This window comes from Homo sapiens, chromosome 1 (genome assembly GCF_000001405.40).
Source record: "Homo sapiens chromosome 1, GRCh38.p14 Primary Assembly".
Lineage (NCBI taxonomy): Eukaryota > Metazoa > Chordata > Mammalia > Primates > Hominidae > Homo > Homo sapiens.
Genome location: NC_000001.11, coordinates 154,728,017 through 154,743,372, shown reverse-complemented (window position 1 = coordinate 154,743,372; position 15,356 = coordinate 154,728,017). Strand labels below are relative to the sequence as shown.

The following is a 15,356-nucleotide window of genomic DNA, read 5'->3' as shown; positions in this document are numbered from 1 at the left end:
TGTCTTACTTTTTTTAGAGGGCCTCTCTGACTACTGTAACAGGACTAGCCTGAGGCAAGCGTCGCCCAGGCAGAAGCAGGGAGGCCAGTGAGGCAACTACTGCAGTGGTCCAGGTGAGAGGGCGGTGCTGATCCAGGTGAGAGGGTGGGGCTGGAGCAGGTAAGAGGATGGGACTGGAGCAGGTAAGAGAGTGGGGCTGGTCCAGGTGAGAGGATGGGGCTGGTCCAGGTGAGAGGGTGGGGCTGGACAAGGTGAGAGGGTGGGGCTGGTCCAGGGTGGCCACAGACCAGGGATGACAGGCGCTCCGATTCTGGAGATATTTTGAAAGCAGAGGTGACAGAATTTGATGGAGATAAGGGGTTTAAGCTGCAAGTCACCAAATGAAGAGAAGGGGCTGCAGCCACCCAGAAGAACAGCGAAGATTAAAAGGAGAAGCTGGGAGGAGTTTCTGTTTTCCTACACAGCAGCATCTGCTGCCTGTTCTTTCTCCACATCCGTGCAGCTGCCCTTGTCACTAGGACGAAGCCCCAGGTGAGAGGCTCCTGCAGAGGCTGTGACATACCTCTATCTGTATCACTTGCTGAAGGCTGATGGAGCCCGTGCACATTCACTCCTCACCGCGGCCTCGCGAGGCAGGCAGGACGGCATCATTACACCCTGCTTCCCCGAAGAAGCAGCAGGCCCTGAGTCCGTGGAGTGATCTGCTCAAGGTCACAGAGCCATTTGGCATGAAAGGCAGTCTCTGGGCTCCAGATCTTGTGTTCTTTCTGCTATGCCAAGGCTAACCATAGACACACGAGATGAAAATAGCACTTTTTTTTAGTGCACCTATGTGCCCGGCACTGCTCTAATCATTTTAGACATATCAGCTCCTTTAACCCTCACAGTAACTCTCTGTGAGGTGGTACAAGTATTATCCTCTTTTACAGGTGGGAAGACTGAGGATAAGTTCATGCAGACATTAAGGTGCAAAGCCCGGATTCAAACATAGGTGTTCTGGCCCTGGAACCTGTAGGTTCAGCTATACCCCAGCCAGCTTTGCGGCCTTTCTGCAAGCCAGTGTGTGGGCAGTAGGTGGATGGTGCTGATGCCACGTGTGGGAGACACAGGCAAAGAGCTGGGGTTGGCTGGGTGGGTCAGGATGGGATTTGAAGTGGGTCCTGAAGGGCCAGTTAGAAGGCATCAGGGAGGACAGGGCAGGAGTGACAGGAGCAAGAGAGCCATGTGTGCAAGGCAAGCTTGGAGCACAGCAACCCTGAAGCGGTGGTCAGAGCATGAAGCCAAGGAGGCACAGTCGAAGGCGGGAGGAAAGCAGGCCAGTGAGCCGCTGCAGATGCCAGAGGAGGGCAGTGTTCCGAGGAGAGAGGCACCGGTGGGGTCAGAGGCCGCCAGGGGGCCAAGCCAGGTACGTGTTGTTGGCTTCCTCATTGGAGAAATTCGCAAGCACAGGGTTCACAGCTCAGTGGGCAGGTCTGACTGTGTGACTCTGAAGATTGACCGGAAGGCAAGGACGAAGCAGTCCATTTGGCTGCTTTGGAGTTCTGCAGAGGATCTGGCTCAATGCCTGCAAATTTCCAACAAACAAATCAGACCCAGGACAAATGGCTAGAGCCGTCATATCATGTAGATCCATGTGAAAAGAATCCTTTTTTTTTTTTTTTTACAAAACTAGTTTTAAAAAGTATTCAAATTCTTTTGGAGAATAAGGAAGAAGAGGCAGTCATTTCACTTTGGCTTATTTTCTGTCACCCTAGTGCTGTAACAGATCACAGCTAGTGTCATGAAGCTGAGTTCTTATTAATAGTGAGAACTGACTCCAAGCTCAAGGAATTTGGCAGCCACCTTGACAAAGGTTTAATCTGCTGAAGAGAACAGCTGAAATCATTTTAACATGATTCACTGAATTACTGAAGCAAGCCTCACTTTTGTAGAGGGACAGGAAAAGCAGCATGCAGGCCTTAGTCAGTCCACAAGTATTTTAGTGAGCCCCTATTATGTGCTAGACCCTCAGAAGGTACCAAGGAAAGGCTACAGAGAATACTGTAATATAACTTCAGGGTTAGACAAATAGACCAATGGAACAGAATAGAGAACCAAGAAATAGTACCACTTCCACATATAATTTATGAGACAGAGGGAGCATTGAAAGCTAGTAGGAGAAAGGATGGTCTGCACATTAAGTGAAACTGAGATAATTGCTTACCCATGTGAAAAAAATGAAGTTGTATCCCTGCCTCACACCATATGCAAAATCAATTCCAGGCAAATTGAAGACTTAGAAAGGCAACATTTTAAAATATGTAAAAATGTTACAATCTCAGGGAGGGAATGATTTCTGCAAAAACCAAATAACTGCTAATTATAAATTAAAGGATGATAAAGTCACCTACAGTAAAATTTAAAACTTCTATTCATCAAAAATACTGTAGAGAAAAAGGCAAGGCACACACTGGAAGAAGATATTTGCAACACACAAACTGACAAAATTCTTATTATCTAGAATATATAAATAACTTTTAGAATCAATGAGAAAAAACAAAAACAAGCCAATAGAAAAGTGGACAAAAGTCATGAATGACACGCCACAGAAGAGAAAGTATGAATGACAAAGAAACATATGAAAGGCTACTTAAGCTTTTATCATGGAAACGTAAAGTCAAGTCTTGATGAGATCCCAATTCACCCACTAGTGTGGCAGAGATTAAAGTCAGACAATGGCAAGTGTTAATGAGGATATGGAGAAACAGGAACTCTTATCCACCTCTGGTGGAAGCCTAATTGGCACTGGCATCTTAGAAAACAACTTGACATTTCCTAATGAAGTGAAATATGTACATATCCTACAAACCAGCAAACCCAGTCTTAGGTATGTGTCCTAGAGAAACTCTTATGCAGTGTACCAGGAGCTATGATTAAGAATGTTTGGGCTGGGTGAGGTGGCTCATGCCTGTAATCCCAACATTTCAGGAGGTCAAGGCAGGAGAATCTCTTGAGCCCAGGAGTTTGAGGCTACAGTAAGCTATGATTGTGCCACTGCAGTCCAGCCTGGGCAACAGAGTAAGACCCTGTCTCTAAAAATACAATAACAATAAGTCAATAAAAAATAATGTTTGTAGCAGTATTTCTCATTAGAGGAAAAACCCGTAAGCTATCCCACTGTCCATCAACAGGTGAATGAATAAATAAATCATGCCATATTCATATGATGAAATACAATACAGGAATAAAAATAGACTATAGCTACATATGTCAATATAATATATATGTTGAACAGAAAAGAAGCAATTCATAGAAGAGTTCACTGTATTAGTTATCTGTTGCTACATAACAACTTGCTCCAAAATTTAGCAGCTAAAAACAGCAGACATTTACCATCTCAGGGTTGCTGTGGGTCAGGAATTCAGGTGCAGCTTAAATGGGTACCTCTGCCTCAAGTTCTCTCATGAGATTGTCAGGCTGTCAGCCAGGGCTGTGGTCTCACCTCAAGGCTTGACTTAAAGAACACCTGCTTCTAAGCTACTCATGTGGTGGTTGGCAGGCTGTGTCCCTTGCCATGTGGCACTCCACGGGCTTGCCTCCCGACATGGCCTGTGGATTCTCCCAGGGAGAGTGATCCAAAAGATAACTAGTGAGAGATCACCCAAGACAGAAGCCATGATCTTACCATAACCTAACTTCAGAAATGAAAGTCTATCACTTCTGCCATACTCTATGTGTTAGAAACCAGTTACTTGGTCCAGCCCACACTCAAAAGGAAAGGATTGCAAAAGTGTGTGAAGACCTCAAGAGGAGGGGGGATATCGAGGTCATTTTAGAAGCTTCCTACCATACTCTTGTGGTATGATTTCATCCTTATGAAGGTCGGAAATAGGAAAAATGAAATTACATATTGCTTAGGTAATCCTGCCTACATGGAAGCACTATGAAGAAAAACGAGGAAATGATAAACATGACATTCAGGGTAATGATGATCCTGGGGTGGGGGGCACTAAGAATGGAGAGAACATACAAGTAGATCCCACAGGTTGGAGCTGGATGGTGAGTTCATGGTGCTTATTTTCTTTCTGTGTTTCTTGATGTCATTTAATGTTGCATGTAGTTTTGTTTTTTCTCTTTGGTTTGGTGTTCTGTTGATATGATCAAAGTTACATGTGCATACACTGTAGAGTCAATCCTTCCGTGGTATTTGCTGTCTTCCACCAGCTCTTCCCATTTACTGTTCTCCAGAGGCAGCTACTTTTACCTTCTTTTGCTAATTAATTTTAGTATTTACCTCCATGTCTGTAAGTAATATGTGTGTATTGCTACCTTTTGATGCTTTGGTTTATTTAGGTATTATCTATTCCCTTCCCACTCTGGGAGATGAAAATTTAGCTCCCTTTCCTCTCCTCCAACTCTTCCTCTCCCTTCATCTTCCTTTTATAATTACATCATAATTTTGGTTAAAGCAGTAATCAGTGTTTACATTACTCAGTCAACACTAATTTGACTCTATTCATAGTTGAGCCTTGTAGTAAAAAATATGATAACTTTTCCCTTCCTGCAGAACTTTTCATTTTTCCTGGAGTTGTTAATGATCGTGTTTGTTTGTTTGCTTAGTTTTCTATGTATTCGTCATTAATGCAAGTGCAAACTCTGGCAGTTGTCTAAACCTCTTTTCAGGATGTTCAGGCACATTAAGTTTCCTATCAATTTCATCTCCTTGGAAGTGTCTCCCAGAGCCTCTTGACCTGCTCCAGCCCGGACGGGTTGTCCTCCGCACCTGGTGAGCACCTGTCCTATGAGGGCCTCCCTGTAGCATCACCCTGAGCTCGTTACCTTTATTCCTTGTCTTCCTCCTTGGTTTACTTCTTTGTTTTGGTGAAGCATACCTCCTGTGTCTTCCTGAGAGAGGGTGCATGGGAGGCAAACCCGTGACAACCTTACGTATCTGAAAATGTCTTCGTTCCACCCTCAGACTGAACTAATACTTTGGCCAATTCAGATTTCTGGTCTCTGGTTTGGAATTCTGATTTGGAAATAATTTTCCTCCAGAATTTTGAAGGCTTTATTCCATGGCCTTCTAGCTTCCAGTGTTGCTGTCAAAAAGTCCGAAGCTGTTGTAATTTCTGGTTCTTTGTATTTGGCCTCTTTTATACCCTCCCCCAAAACCCCTAAAGCTCTGTAGGATTGTCTCCTTTCCCCTGGTGTTCTGAAATTTCACAATAATGTGCCTTGGTGTGCATCTATTTTCATCCACTGTGCTGGGGACAGTGAGCCTTTGATCTAGAAACTCATGCCCTTAAGTTCTGGGGATTTTTGTTTTTGAATGATTTTTAAAATAATTACTTCTCTCCTTCTTTCTCCTTCTTTTCCCCCCAGTTGTTTCTTTCTGTAACTTCTACTGTTTGAATTGGGAGACTGATTCACTAATTTTCTCATATTTTCTTTCCCTCTCTCTCCTTTTAAGAGATGATGGGGGTCTTGCTCTGTCCCCAGGCTGAAGTGCAGGGGCACAATCATAGCTCACTGCAGCCTCAACCTCCTGGGCACGAGCAATCCTCCTGCCTCAGCCTCCGAGCAGCTGGGGGATACAGGCACACACCACAATGCCTAACTTCATATTTTCTTTCATTTTCATTCTTTGTCTTTTTCTGCTTTTTGGGAGAATTCCTCGATTTATCATCTTCCAGCCCCTCTAGGAAGACTTTTTTCATACAGCATTCCATTCTTGTCTCGTGGGTCCAGTATCTTATTTTCTCTCTCTTACGTTAATTATAGGATTTTTCCTTCAAGAGTTCTCTCTGTGAATGGTCTGTATTTGATCCAGAGTTCCTTCTTTTTGTTTGTTTAGTTGACTGGTTTGATCTGTGTCTTTCATGTTAGAGACTCCTGACTGTCTGGGGATTCCTGGTTGCCTGCTTATTTTTAAAAGTAGGAGACTAACAACTTTGAGCTGTAAGGGATTTGAGTGAGCAAAAGTAGACATATGTCTCTACCATCTTTGCCAAGTCATACAGTCTTTTGTATCTCTCATTTATTTCATGTTAAGAAGTGAAAAAAAATCCATAGTCCACACCCTGAAAGATAAATCAGTAACTGTAATAACTACCCTTGAGCTCAAAGAAAAATTACATCTTTTCCTCCTCAGCCTTTAAAGAAAAACATGGAGCTATCCCCCCCCCCCAAATTTTCTATTGCAAAAAATAGCACAAGATTAGTATGTGAGTTTGTGACATGTGTAAACCGCTCTAAAATTGTGAATAGGTTTAGAAACCTTTTCTCCCTCCTCTCTACTCCCACAGTCCTGAATCACCAGCCCAGCCTTCTGGCTCATCACTTCCTGCTTGGTGAGTTGCATGTATGTCTTATCTCCATGACGAAGCTCCAAGCCACTGGAGAGCAGGGTGCATGTCCAATTCATCTCAGCATCTTCCGTAGCCCCCACCAGAGAAGCGATCACTGAAGGCTGACAAACAACGAAGGACACTCTCAAGATCTTCACTCCTCTCCTCAGCACACACAGTTAGCACGCACAGGAGTTTATTATGGTGAATGAAAAAAGAAACCCACAAGAACATAATTTATATGTAATTCCACTTTGATCTCTAATCTCTTTACCTTGGCATCCTCCCACATATGAATAGGATGGTCCATGATCCTAAGGGCAGCCAAACAGCCAGGGAGCACGAGTTTAATCCTCAGGGTTTGCAGGGAAAGGAGGACTGTGGAGACCCACGTGCACAAGAAAATCCATGATGTGCACAGAGGGCAGGCTACAAATTAATCCTAACTTCATGGTTCGGTATTCAAGGCTCTCCATTGCTTCTCCCTGGACACCTGCAAAGCTTCTAGCAGCACTGCTTATCTGGGGCCTGACCCCTTTAGTCAGTCTTTCATGTAGAAGAATCATTTTCAGATACTAAGTATCTCATGTCTTTTCTTTGTCCAAGAACTTACAGTTGATTTCTTTTGTGTCTGTATCAAATAGTTCTCCAGCCTAAACTTCAAGACATCTTCATGAATGCCTCACCACTCCACTGCACGTGTAAATCCATGCCCCTGTATTTTTCTGTCTATTGTTTCTCAGACTGATAACACCTGCGCCCTCTCAGCAACAATAATGGCTGACATTTAGTGAGCACTTAATTTGGGTCACTGTGCTGGTATTGCTTGTGGGTTATTTTACTTAATCCTCCCATCATTGGATAAGGAAATTGATTGACAGAGAGGGCACGTCACTTGCCCACAGCCATGGAGCTACTTAACTCTGGAGCTGGAGCTCCAAGCCAGGCAAGCCCAGCCCAGCCCAAGATCACTGGCTCAGCTCAACTCCTCACTGCTAAACTGCCTCAACCACATTTCTTCAGACCTTACCCAAGACTTATCTTCCAGGAAATGTTTTTCGGAAGAACTGAGGACCCTGGCTGTGACTGTATTACATTTATGTGTTGCAGGCTTGTGGCGTGGAGCTGCCTTTACGTCTTCTCCCTTCTGTGTCCCCTCCCACAGTCACTGAGTCTTGCTGCTTTAGAGAAGCTAAAGTCTGATTTTCCACCACTGCCTCAGCACAGGGCCTGAGGATAGGGTCTGCCACCATCCCTCCAGCCAGAAAGCAACCTGCTGGGAAGGGAGGGGTTGCATTGACCTGAGGGCCTAGCAGGGCAGAGTGAGCAGGCCAGGGAGACAGCTGCCTTTCCAAGGCCACAGCAGAACTGGGAGGGGGCTGATGCGCTGGGTCACGGTCAGGGGTAGACGCAATCCTGGGAATCAGAGTTGGGAGCCACCAGCCTGTGCTACTCAAGGATAGCCAGGGGAGCAAAGGCAGGCCCAGCCCAGGGAAATGAGGCCCACGCAGCCAGCCAGGGGCCCCTAGGGTGGTAACAGAGCATCCCTGGGGAGCAAGTATAGCAGATGGAGTGGGCAGGCAAGGCCATCTCATTAGCAGAGCTTTGGGGAGGGGGTATCTTTTCTTCAGATGTCCCCAGAAGTACCAGACACCCATGTCCTTGTGCAGACAGCCACAAAAAGGCTAATGCTGTGCCACCCACTGGGTCTCCAGTTGCTGGCCAAGGACTCAAGTGGGGCTGGAGAGCCCACCATTGATGTGCTCGCGGGAATCTGCTAGGGCCGGGCTCCGGTGGGTGAGAAAGGCTGTGGCCTGCGTCTCTGTCCCAGCTTTGCACACCTGTTTCTTGCCTGGTCACCCCACCTCTGTGTCCTGTCTCTTCAGATACCCTGCTCGCCACCCGCCGACCATTCTTCCCAGCAAGCTGTGTTATCTTGTCATTCCTGTGCTCAAGAACCCAGAATCTCTTCTAAGGCCTCTAAGACAAGATCCAAGCTTCTTCTCCCAGAATTCCAGGCCTTCCTAAATCTGACCCCTGGTCTCTGAAGCCCCCTGGTCACCTGCTACTGGAGCCCAGGTGCTCTCCTCTCACTGAAGCTTCCTCATTATTCCCAAGACACACGCCAGTCGCTTTTGCCTCTCTGATGTTGAGTGAAACAGTGAAAGGAGCATGGGCTTTGCTTCCTGTGTGTCCTTAGGCAAGTCACCCAGTGTCTCCGTGCCTCCTGCTGCTTACCTGGGAAATACTTTAAAGACTGTTGTGAGATGAGAATGTTTGCGTACAAAGTGCCAGCCACACAGTAGGTGCTCAATACATGCACAGTATCCGTCATACCATGCTCTTGCTGCTCCCTGACTTGATGGCCCTGTCCCTTTCTGACTGGCTGAGCTCCTGTCTCCTTCCAGGCCCATCTCTAGATGCATCTACACATGCAGCCTGCCCTGCACGCCTCACTTAAGGCGCCAAGGGAAGGAAAAGCAGCATTTGCCTATCACTCGCTGGGCACAGACCCTGTGGGGGCATGGAGATTCCTGATGACGGCAGCGAATCCTTCCAGGGGGCTTCCTTGTACTAGGCCTGTCCCGGCACGTTGTGTGCATTAACTCACGGAAGCCCCAATGGTAACTGACTTCCATAGATTAAGGTTCCTAAATGGCTTTTCTGCTCTATCCAGCCTAGTAGGTTTGGTCTCCCTGGCCCTTTGTTCTTAGCTTTCCCCATCCAGTGGCCTCCAAGTGGTTAAGAGGAGATTTTATCAAGAGGTGAAGCCCTACAGTATAAAATACAGAGTCTATTGTGTGTTGTTCAGGCTGATCCCATTAGAGAACGGTTTGGAAGAGGACTCACCTTCACCAGCCCTGCCACCCAGCCTGCAACCAGCTCCCTTGCTGCACTTTGTATAAGCCCTGGGCTTTCATTAGGGTTCTCTGCCCAGAGCACCCGTTCCTCTGGGCCTGCCTGGAAAATGCAAGCCTTGCTCCTCTGTGGCACCTCTGTGGACCCTCATGTGTTTGGGTCAAGGTCATTGCCCTCTGCCTCCATCCCCAGGGCACCTTGTCCACCCCCTGATTGCACCCCTCTGCAGATGTCTGCCTCCTTGGCAAACCCCTCTCTTGGGCTGGGTCCCTGAGGGCAGGGGCTGTGTGGTATTCATCTCTGTATTTCAGTACTTGGCACAGAGCCTGGCATGCAGCAGGTCTTGGTGTTGGGGATGAAGGGAGGGAGGAAGGGGATGGGGTGGAATAGGCATCCGGGCAGAGGAAATGGTGCTGATGTTTCCAGTTGGTTCCTCCCAGGGCGGGGCAGCTACAAGCCCCTGTCTGACTCAGAAAGGGAGGCCTCTGTGGACACCCCAGAGCCCCCTCTAGAGACAGCTCCACGAGAGCCCCAACCACCACAGCTTCCCTCCAGACCCCCGGGAGATGCCAGTCTTTGAGATGCTTCAACTTTCTTAGAGGAAATCGCTGAATATGTTTGGTAATTTTTTTTTGACATTTTCCCTGTTCAGGAGCTTGTGATTTCAGATTAATCACATCCACATACATTTAGACTGTCGGCTTGGAAGGGAAAATTTGAATTTTATTACTGCATGATTTCATCCAAAGCTATCTTACCAACACTAAAAGGATGTCTACAATGAGGTGCAAATCATGACAAAACATTTTATCTCTGGGACCAAGCTCATGGCGGGAGGCCAACGGGACGGGGGGCTGCAGGTGGGACCTGGGTGGGCACAGTTGCAGCCCCTTCAGTAGCCTAAAGAGATCTGTGTGAGCCACCGTCACTGCTGCCTCTTCCTCAGCAAAATATCTCATTTCCTTCCCCGCTCTAGGTTTGCCCACAGCCCTTACTCCCAGGAATGGCTGTTCATCGACTAACTCCTGTCTTCCCATTGGCAGGTACCATGACCAGCAGGACGTAACTAGTAACTTTCTGGGTGCCATGTGGCTCATCTCCATCACATTCCTTTCCATTGGTTATGGGGACATGGTGCCCCACACATACTGTGGGAAAGGTGTCTGTCTCCTCACTGGCATCATGGTGAGTACCCGCCTCTCCCCATTCCCTACCCTTAAAATGTGGCAAAGAGCTGAACTCTTTCTTGCAAGCACATAGGGGCCTTCCTAGCCGCAGAGCGGGGGGTGGCTGTTAGTTAACCGACCTGCATGTGTGTCCCCTACACATAAAATGTCAGGTGGGAAATCTGCAATGGTTTCTCACTTTTCAGTTAACTTTTCTAAGGTAAGAATGAGACCTGGACTCCTGGCAGTTAATGGTCTATTCACAGCTCCCTCAAAATGGGCTGGGTGAAGCTGGTCCTGGCCCAATGCTCTGATGCCCACCCCACTGCTGTGCAGCCACCCAGTTTGCTCACCTCCAGTGAGCACTGGAGCTTGCAGTTTATTGTCCTCCTTCCTGTTGCCTTGGTCCCACTGACCTTGGCACCATTTCTGATCATGTTTAGCTGGAACTCACAGAAGCAGGGACTGGGGAAAGAGCACTGAGTCGGCCTTTGGGACCTGAGTCCTGGACGGGGCTGTCCACATGGCCCTGGGCTGGCTCTTGCCTTTCCCAGGCTTCTGCTTCCACCTCTGCCTATGGAGGGGCTGGGCTCTGAGTGCCAAGTGCTTTGCAGCACTGGCATTTGGCAAGGCTGTGATCCCATCTCCAGGTGCCCAGCAGGTGTGCCGTGCCCTTTCAAGGTGTATCTCTCCTGCCCAGTGCCCTACCACCCACACTCGACACTCTCGCGGAGGCACACACTCTCACCTGTCACATGGCCATCACAGTGTGGCTTATGAGAGGGATGTGGGGTCTGAGTTTCTGCTCACTGTGGACCCTGGGCCAGGCACTCTGCATATTGGACCTGAGCATCCTCCAGGGGAAAGTGGAGATGGAGGGCCTGCCCTGCCCTCCCCATTGGTTTGTGCAAGGACCAAATGCAATGATTTATGTTAAAGTGCTTTGAAAACGAGAAGCGGCCACACACAGGTCAGTGTTGGTGGTGTCCTCAGTGTCCTTCAGTTGCAAATTGGTGAAGTGTTCCCTGGGCCTCATTGCACTTTGGGTCCAGGACAGGCAGCTGCTGCTCTTTGGCCTTCGTCCTGGAATCCTAGAACAGTGTCAGACCAGGGTTGGACACTTTTTTCAGAGGAGGAAACTGAGGCTGAAAGAGGAAAGCACATCTAAGCCTGGGTAGTGTTGGGGGAGGTGGCGGGGTGAGAAGTGGTCAGGCTGCTTGTGGTGTGGCTCTGGGTCTCCATGGCTGGAGACCGCAACCCTCCCAAGGACAGCCCCCCGTCCACAGCCCCCCTCACACCTTTGTGAAAATCCTTCCTTGCAGTGATCCCTCAGATTCCATTTGTCACCCCCGTTGCCTCCAGAAGAGATGAAGACCCTCTTTCTGGAAGGGCAGTGACCCCTTTCTGCAGTGCAAAGGGAGGGCCGCAGGTCTTCCTGCAGGGTCTGAGTGAACGCCTCACAGCGGCTGGGGGCTGCCCCCACTCCCCACCCCACTCCGTCTTGTTGGCTTCCTGGGGCTGATATTGGTGGACCAGACGGTCAGACCCAGGCTTGGGGCAGTCAGCCTGCTGAGCAGGAGGGGCCAGGCTCTCTCCTCCTTTCTGACTCCAGTCCAGGGCAGGTCCCTATTAGCAGGCAGGTCCTACGACAGCAGCTAATGACAAAAAGCTTAGCGCTGGGGTTGTGATAAATCACGGGTAAGTGCAAGGCTTTAGAACAAATACCTCCCATCGGTTAGTAGGAGTCTGTCTTGGCATAGCACCAACTGTCACGAGGAAACCGGGGAAAGACGCTTCTTACCAGAAAGGAATGAAATGCCACTGAAGGCCAAATCTTTCCTTCTTAGAGTCACTCCTGGGGCTTTGTGCCTCAGAACCAGCTCTCAGCCAGGGCTGGCACAGAGCAGGGTTGCCAGTAGGTGGATGGGCCCTGCCGGGAGCCTCTGTTATTTTAAAATACCGACCTTTTCCCCTCTCAGCACATAGCTGTCCCCATCCAAGAAGCAGCACCCCAAAGACCTGGCTTCCTGGTTCCTGGACTCCGCATCTCCTGGCTCTACTCTGGCACAGCTGAGCGGAACAGGCGAGACCCTGGCCCCACCCCTGCCTCTCTTTGGGGTCCGGAGGCTGTTTGTCTTTCAGCACCCCCTTTTGCTGTCTGGGTGTGCAGTGCTCCCCCAGAGAGAGCGTTCTGTTCCCTGTGGATTGAGGTGTGATCAAAGTGGAAAGAAGAAACGGACGATGAGGAGCCAATTCCCACCTTCCATATGAAAAATACAGCCCAGGCCTTTCATCTCTTTTTGTACAAAACCCTGTGCATAAATATACACCTTTCTATATACAGGAACAGGGAGGTTTCCTCTATTTATTGTCAGTGTTTTTCACCCAAATTAAAGTCAGTCGCCTCACTCTGGGGTCAGCCACAGTGAGGAACCCTGGTGGCATTTTTCTAACAAATGTGATTTTTCTAGCTGAGTCACTCCTAGCCAGGGTTTCACTTTGCTGAGGATCCTTTCCCCTCCTCCTCCCAACCTCCCAACACTATGTATAGCTCCCAATTATTATTGCAAGTGCCTTTACTAAAGGTAGGGCTTCCTGTTTGGTTACCATGGACACCAGGAAGGCCAAGGCAAGGCCTGCTTGGGAAGGGAAAGGAAGGATTTGTGTGTGTGTGGCCTGTAAATAGTCTTAATCATTGTTTTCTCTTGGCAATCCCAGTAACAATGTAATTATCAACCATTAAGCAGGGTATATAATTGTCTGAACAACTTGCCATGGCTGGCACAGACCTGGTGTGTTTGAGAGATTTCACCCACAAAAGCAGCTACATTAAAGTCCAGCATCTTTCCATAAGGATTTTTCATGATCATGGTGACAACACAGTAGAGAGAAAGCTGTCAATATTTAGTATCCAGAATTGGAAATGACAGTGCAACCTAAAAGATGTGCAATGCTGACCTTCTGATTCTGTAGGCATCTGGAAGACCCCAAAGCCCCCAAGGCTGCTTGGCATAACTTTGTTTCAATCTAGCCTCTTTCTAAAGCTGGACTCTCTCTGTAGACCCTTCATCAGTTATGGACAAACAGGCAAAAGCTTCTGGATATCTGCAGGGACGCTGAGCTTTTCCCCAATGGCCTCATGAGAGATGCCTCTGAACTGCCAAGGGAAAGTGATGATGAAGTAAAAGGTAGCACAAATTGAGTCATTTCGGGAGGAGGCAAAAAGAGGGCTCAGCAAGACATCTGCTTAATGTCAGTTTTAGAAGATGAGCTTCTCCCGAAACACCTTGGTTTCAAACCAATTGATGTTATTTTAGTTGTTGCATGGAATCTGTTGCAGAAACAGAATCCAACTGTAAATCCTCCAGGCTTCCCTCCTCCATTTGTCACTTTCATTTGTGTTTTATTTTATTTTATGCTTCTTTAGTTAAGAACACCTCATACTTTTCCCCTTGGGATACTTGTTTTTCCAGCTTCTAAGGTTTTCCAGCTGGAAAATGTTTCTTGAAAACAAGAGGTGGGAGGACTGGTGTGGAGGAGTCTCGGTCCAGATTTGGGTCCGAATCTCTAGAGTTAGGCGTGTTCACCCCGTCCCAGCCACCCTCTCTCCATGCACTCGGTGCTCCCTCTCGCCCACGTGCCTTGGGAAGTTCCAGCTCATCAGAAGTGGACCCCATCCACTCCCCTCGCCCCATGGAACTGGAAGTTGGACAGAGCACATCCAGGGACTCCAGTTGATGTCCCCTGTGGTTCAGGACTTGGCATATCTGAAAGCAAAAGGCTGAGTCATGGCTCTTCCCCCCAGTCTGACCCCAGGGAAGTCATAGCAGCAGCTGTTTACCCTTTCCCATCCTGCTTCCTCCCTCCTCACACACCCCCTCTACCCACCAGCCATTTCAAAGATTCCACAGTTAGCCAGGCCCTCGGTGATTTGTCTCTTAAAACTAACCTGCATCACTGCCATGTGACACAGCACTGCCAGGCTGCCACTGTGGCCTGTCAGACTATTAACTCACCTAAGTGAAAGGGCCCAGCATCCCAAAGGGGACCCAGGGGACAGGCAATCCTTATACCACTTGAAGATGGACACAGCAGGGTGGGATCCCTTGGCACTTCCTTCATGTCCTCTAAAGGGCCAAAATGGACCATTGACTTCTGGCTCAAGCCTTAGGCTCCTTGTTCTTCCTTCCTCTCTCAATCCCATCAGCCCATCATTTTTTCTTATTCTTCAGCCTCCTCCTTCTCTCTTTCCCCCCTTGACCCTTGCTGTTTAGGATGCAACGCAACTTGTTCCCCATCTCATTTTCTGCCCAGCTTTACCTCTCCCTGCACCCACCTTCTCTTCTCTTCTCTTCTCTTTTCTCCTCTTCTCTTCTCTTTTCTCCTCTCTCCTCCCCTCCCCTCCTGTTCTATTGTCTTCTCTCCCTTCTTCATTTTCCCGCCCCGCACCCCGCACAGTCTGCAGAGGCTCAGCAGTCTAGGCTTCAGGATTCCTCCACCACTTTATGAAGGCTGCTGATGTCTGGCCCCATCTTTATTAGGTTGCCTCTTAATGGAAAAGACCAGGTTAGGTGTCATTACTGGTGACTGCCCTAATTACATCCAGTCAATGGAAAAATGAAGCTGAGAGCATCCATTTAAGTTGGAATTAAGGGTTAAGAATGCAGCATCCTCTAGAGGAATACTCACAAGGGAGTCATAACATCTCTATGTTGAAAGAAACTGGGAAGTGTCATCTAGTCCACTGTCCTGCCTCCAGAGAGAAATTTATCTTCATCATGTGAGACAGGTGGTTCATTAGATAAAACACTCTAGCTTCTCATTAAAAGCCCCCCCTGCAATCAGCCAGCTAAAATGTGGGCCATGGCAAGCGCTGTGAAACACCCCATCTAGACCCTGGAAATTTGGAATGGTGGATGATTGATTGTTGTGATTACATTCCCAAAATAGCATGGAACAGGGAAGCTCCCTCTTCAGGCCTATTGGACCCCAGCTTTCAGGGATG

At 48.2% G+C, this 15,356-nt stretch overlaps 1 protein-coding gene across 5 annotated transcripts in view, besides 5 other annotated features; it reads left to right on the top strand.

Moving 5' to 3' along the window:
• KCNN3 (potassium calcium-activated channel subfamily N member 3) overlaps positions 1-15,356 on the top strand; it is a 172,827-nt gene that overhangs the window by 126,909 nt on the left and 30,562 nt on the right. For 3 of the 5 annotated variants that reach the window (NM_002249.6, NM_170782.3, NM_001365838.1), the window contains exon 4: positions 10,229-10,370. In NM_002249.6, the coding sequence (NP_002240.3) occupies positions 10,229-10,370 (142 nt within the window). Of the gene's footprint in view, positions 1-6,284; positions 6,330-10,228; positions 10,371-15,356 lie in introns of all 5 variants that reach the window. The other 2 variants (NM_001204087.2, NM_001365837.1) reach the window with 1 other exon arrangement.
• Positions 1,259-1,759: an enhancer, noted in NCBI's record as "H3K4me1 hESC enhancer chr1:154714090-154714590 (GRCh37/hg19 assembly coordinates)". NCBI's record gives its function as "activates a minimal SCP1, AML or CMV promoter by ChIP-STARR-seq in primed H9 embryonic stem cells {active_cell/tissue: H9 hESC(primed)}" and the evidence as "EXISTENCE:reporter gene assay evidence [ECO:0000049][PMID:30033119]".
• Positions 5,813-7,012: an enhancer, noted in NCBI's record as "CDK7 strongly-dependent group 2 enhancer chr1:154708837-154710036 (GRCh37/hg19 assembly coordinates)". NCBI's record gives its function as "activates an origin of replication core promoter dependent on BRD2, BRD4, P300/CBP, MED14 and CDK7 cofactors, with strong dependence on CDK7, by STARR-seq in HCT116 cells {active_cell/tissue: HCT116}" and the evidence as "EXISTENCE:reporter gene assay evidence [ECO:0000049][PMID:35650434]".
• Positions 7,285-7,844: an enhancer, noted in NCBI's record as "H3K4me1 hESC enhancer chr1:154708005-154708564 (GRCh37/hg19 assembly coordinates)". NCBI's record gives its function as "activates a minimal SCP1, AML or CMV promoter by ChIP-STARR-seq in primed H9 embryonic stem cells {active_cell/tissue: H9 hESC(primed)}" and the evidence as "EXISTENCE:reporter gene assay evidence [ECO:0000049][PMID:30033119]".
• Positions 11,285-12,093: an enhancer, noted in NCBI's record as "H3K27ac-H3K4me1 hESC enhancer chr1:154703756-154704564 (GRCh37/hg19 assembly coordinates)". NCBI's record gives its function as "activates a minimal SCP1, AML or CMV promoter by ChIP-STARR-seq in primed H9 embryonic stem cells {active_cell/tissue: H9 hESC(primed)}" and the evidence as "EXISTENCE:reporter gene assay evidence [ECO:0000049][PMID:30033119]".
• Positions 12,094-12,903: an enhancer, noted in NCBI's record as "H3K27ac-H3K4me1 hESC enhancer chr1:154702946-154703755 (GRCh37/hg19 assembly coordinates)". NCBI's record gives its function as "activates a minimal SCP1, AML or CMV promoter by ChIP-STARR-seq in primed H9 embryonic stem cells {active_cell/tissue: H9 hESC(primed)}" and the evidence as "EXISTENCE:reporter gene assay evidence [ECO:0000049][PMID:30033119]".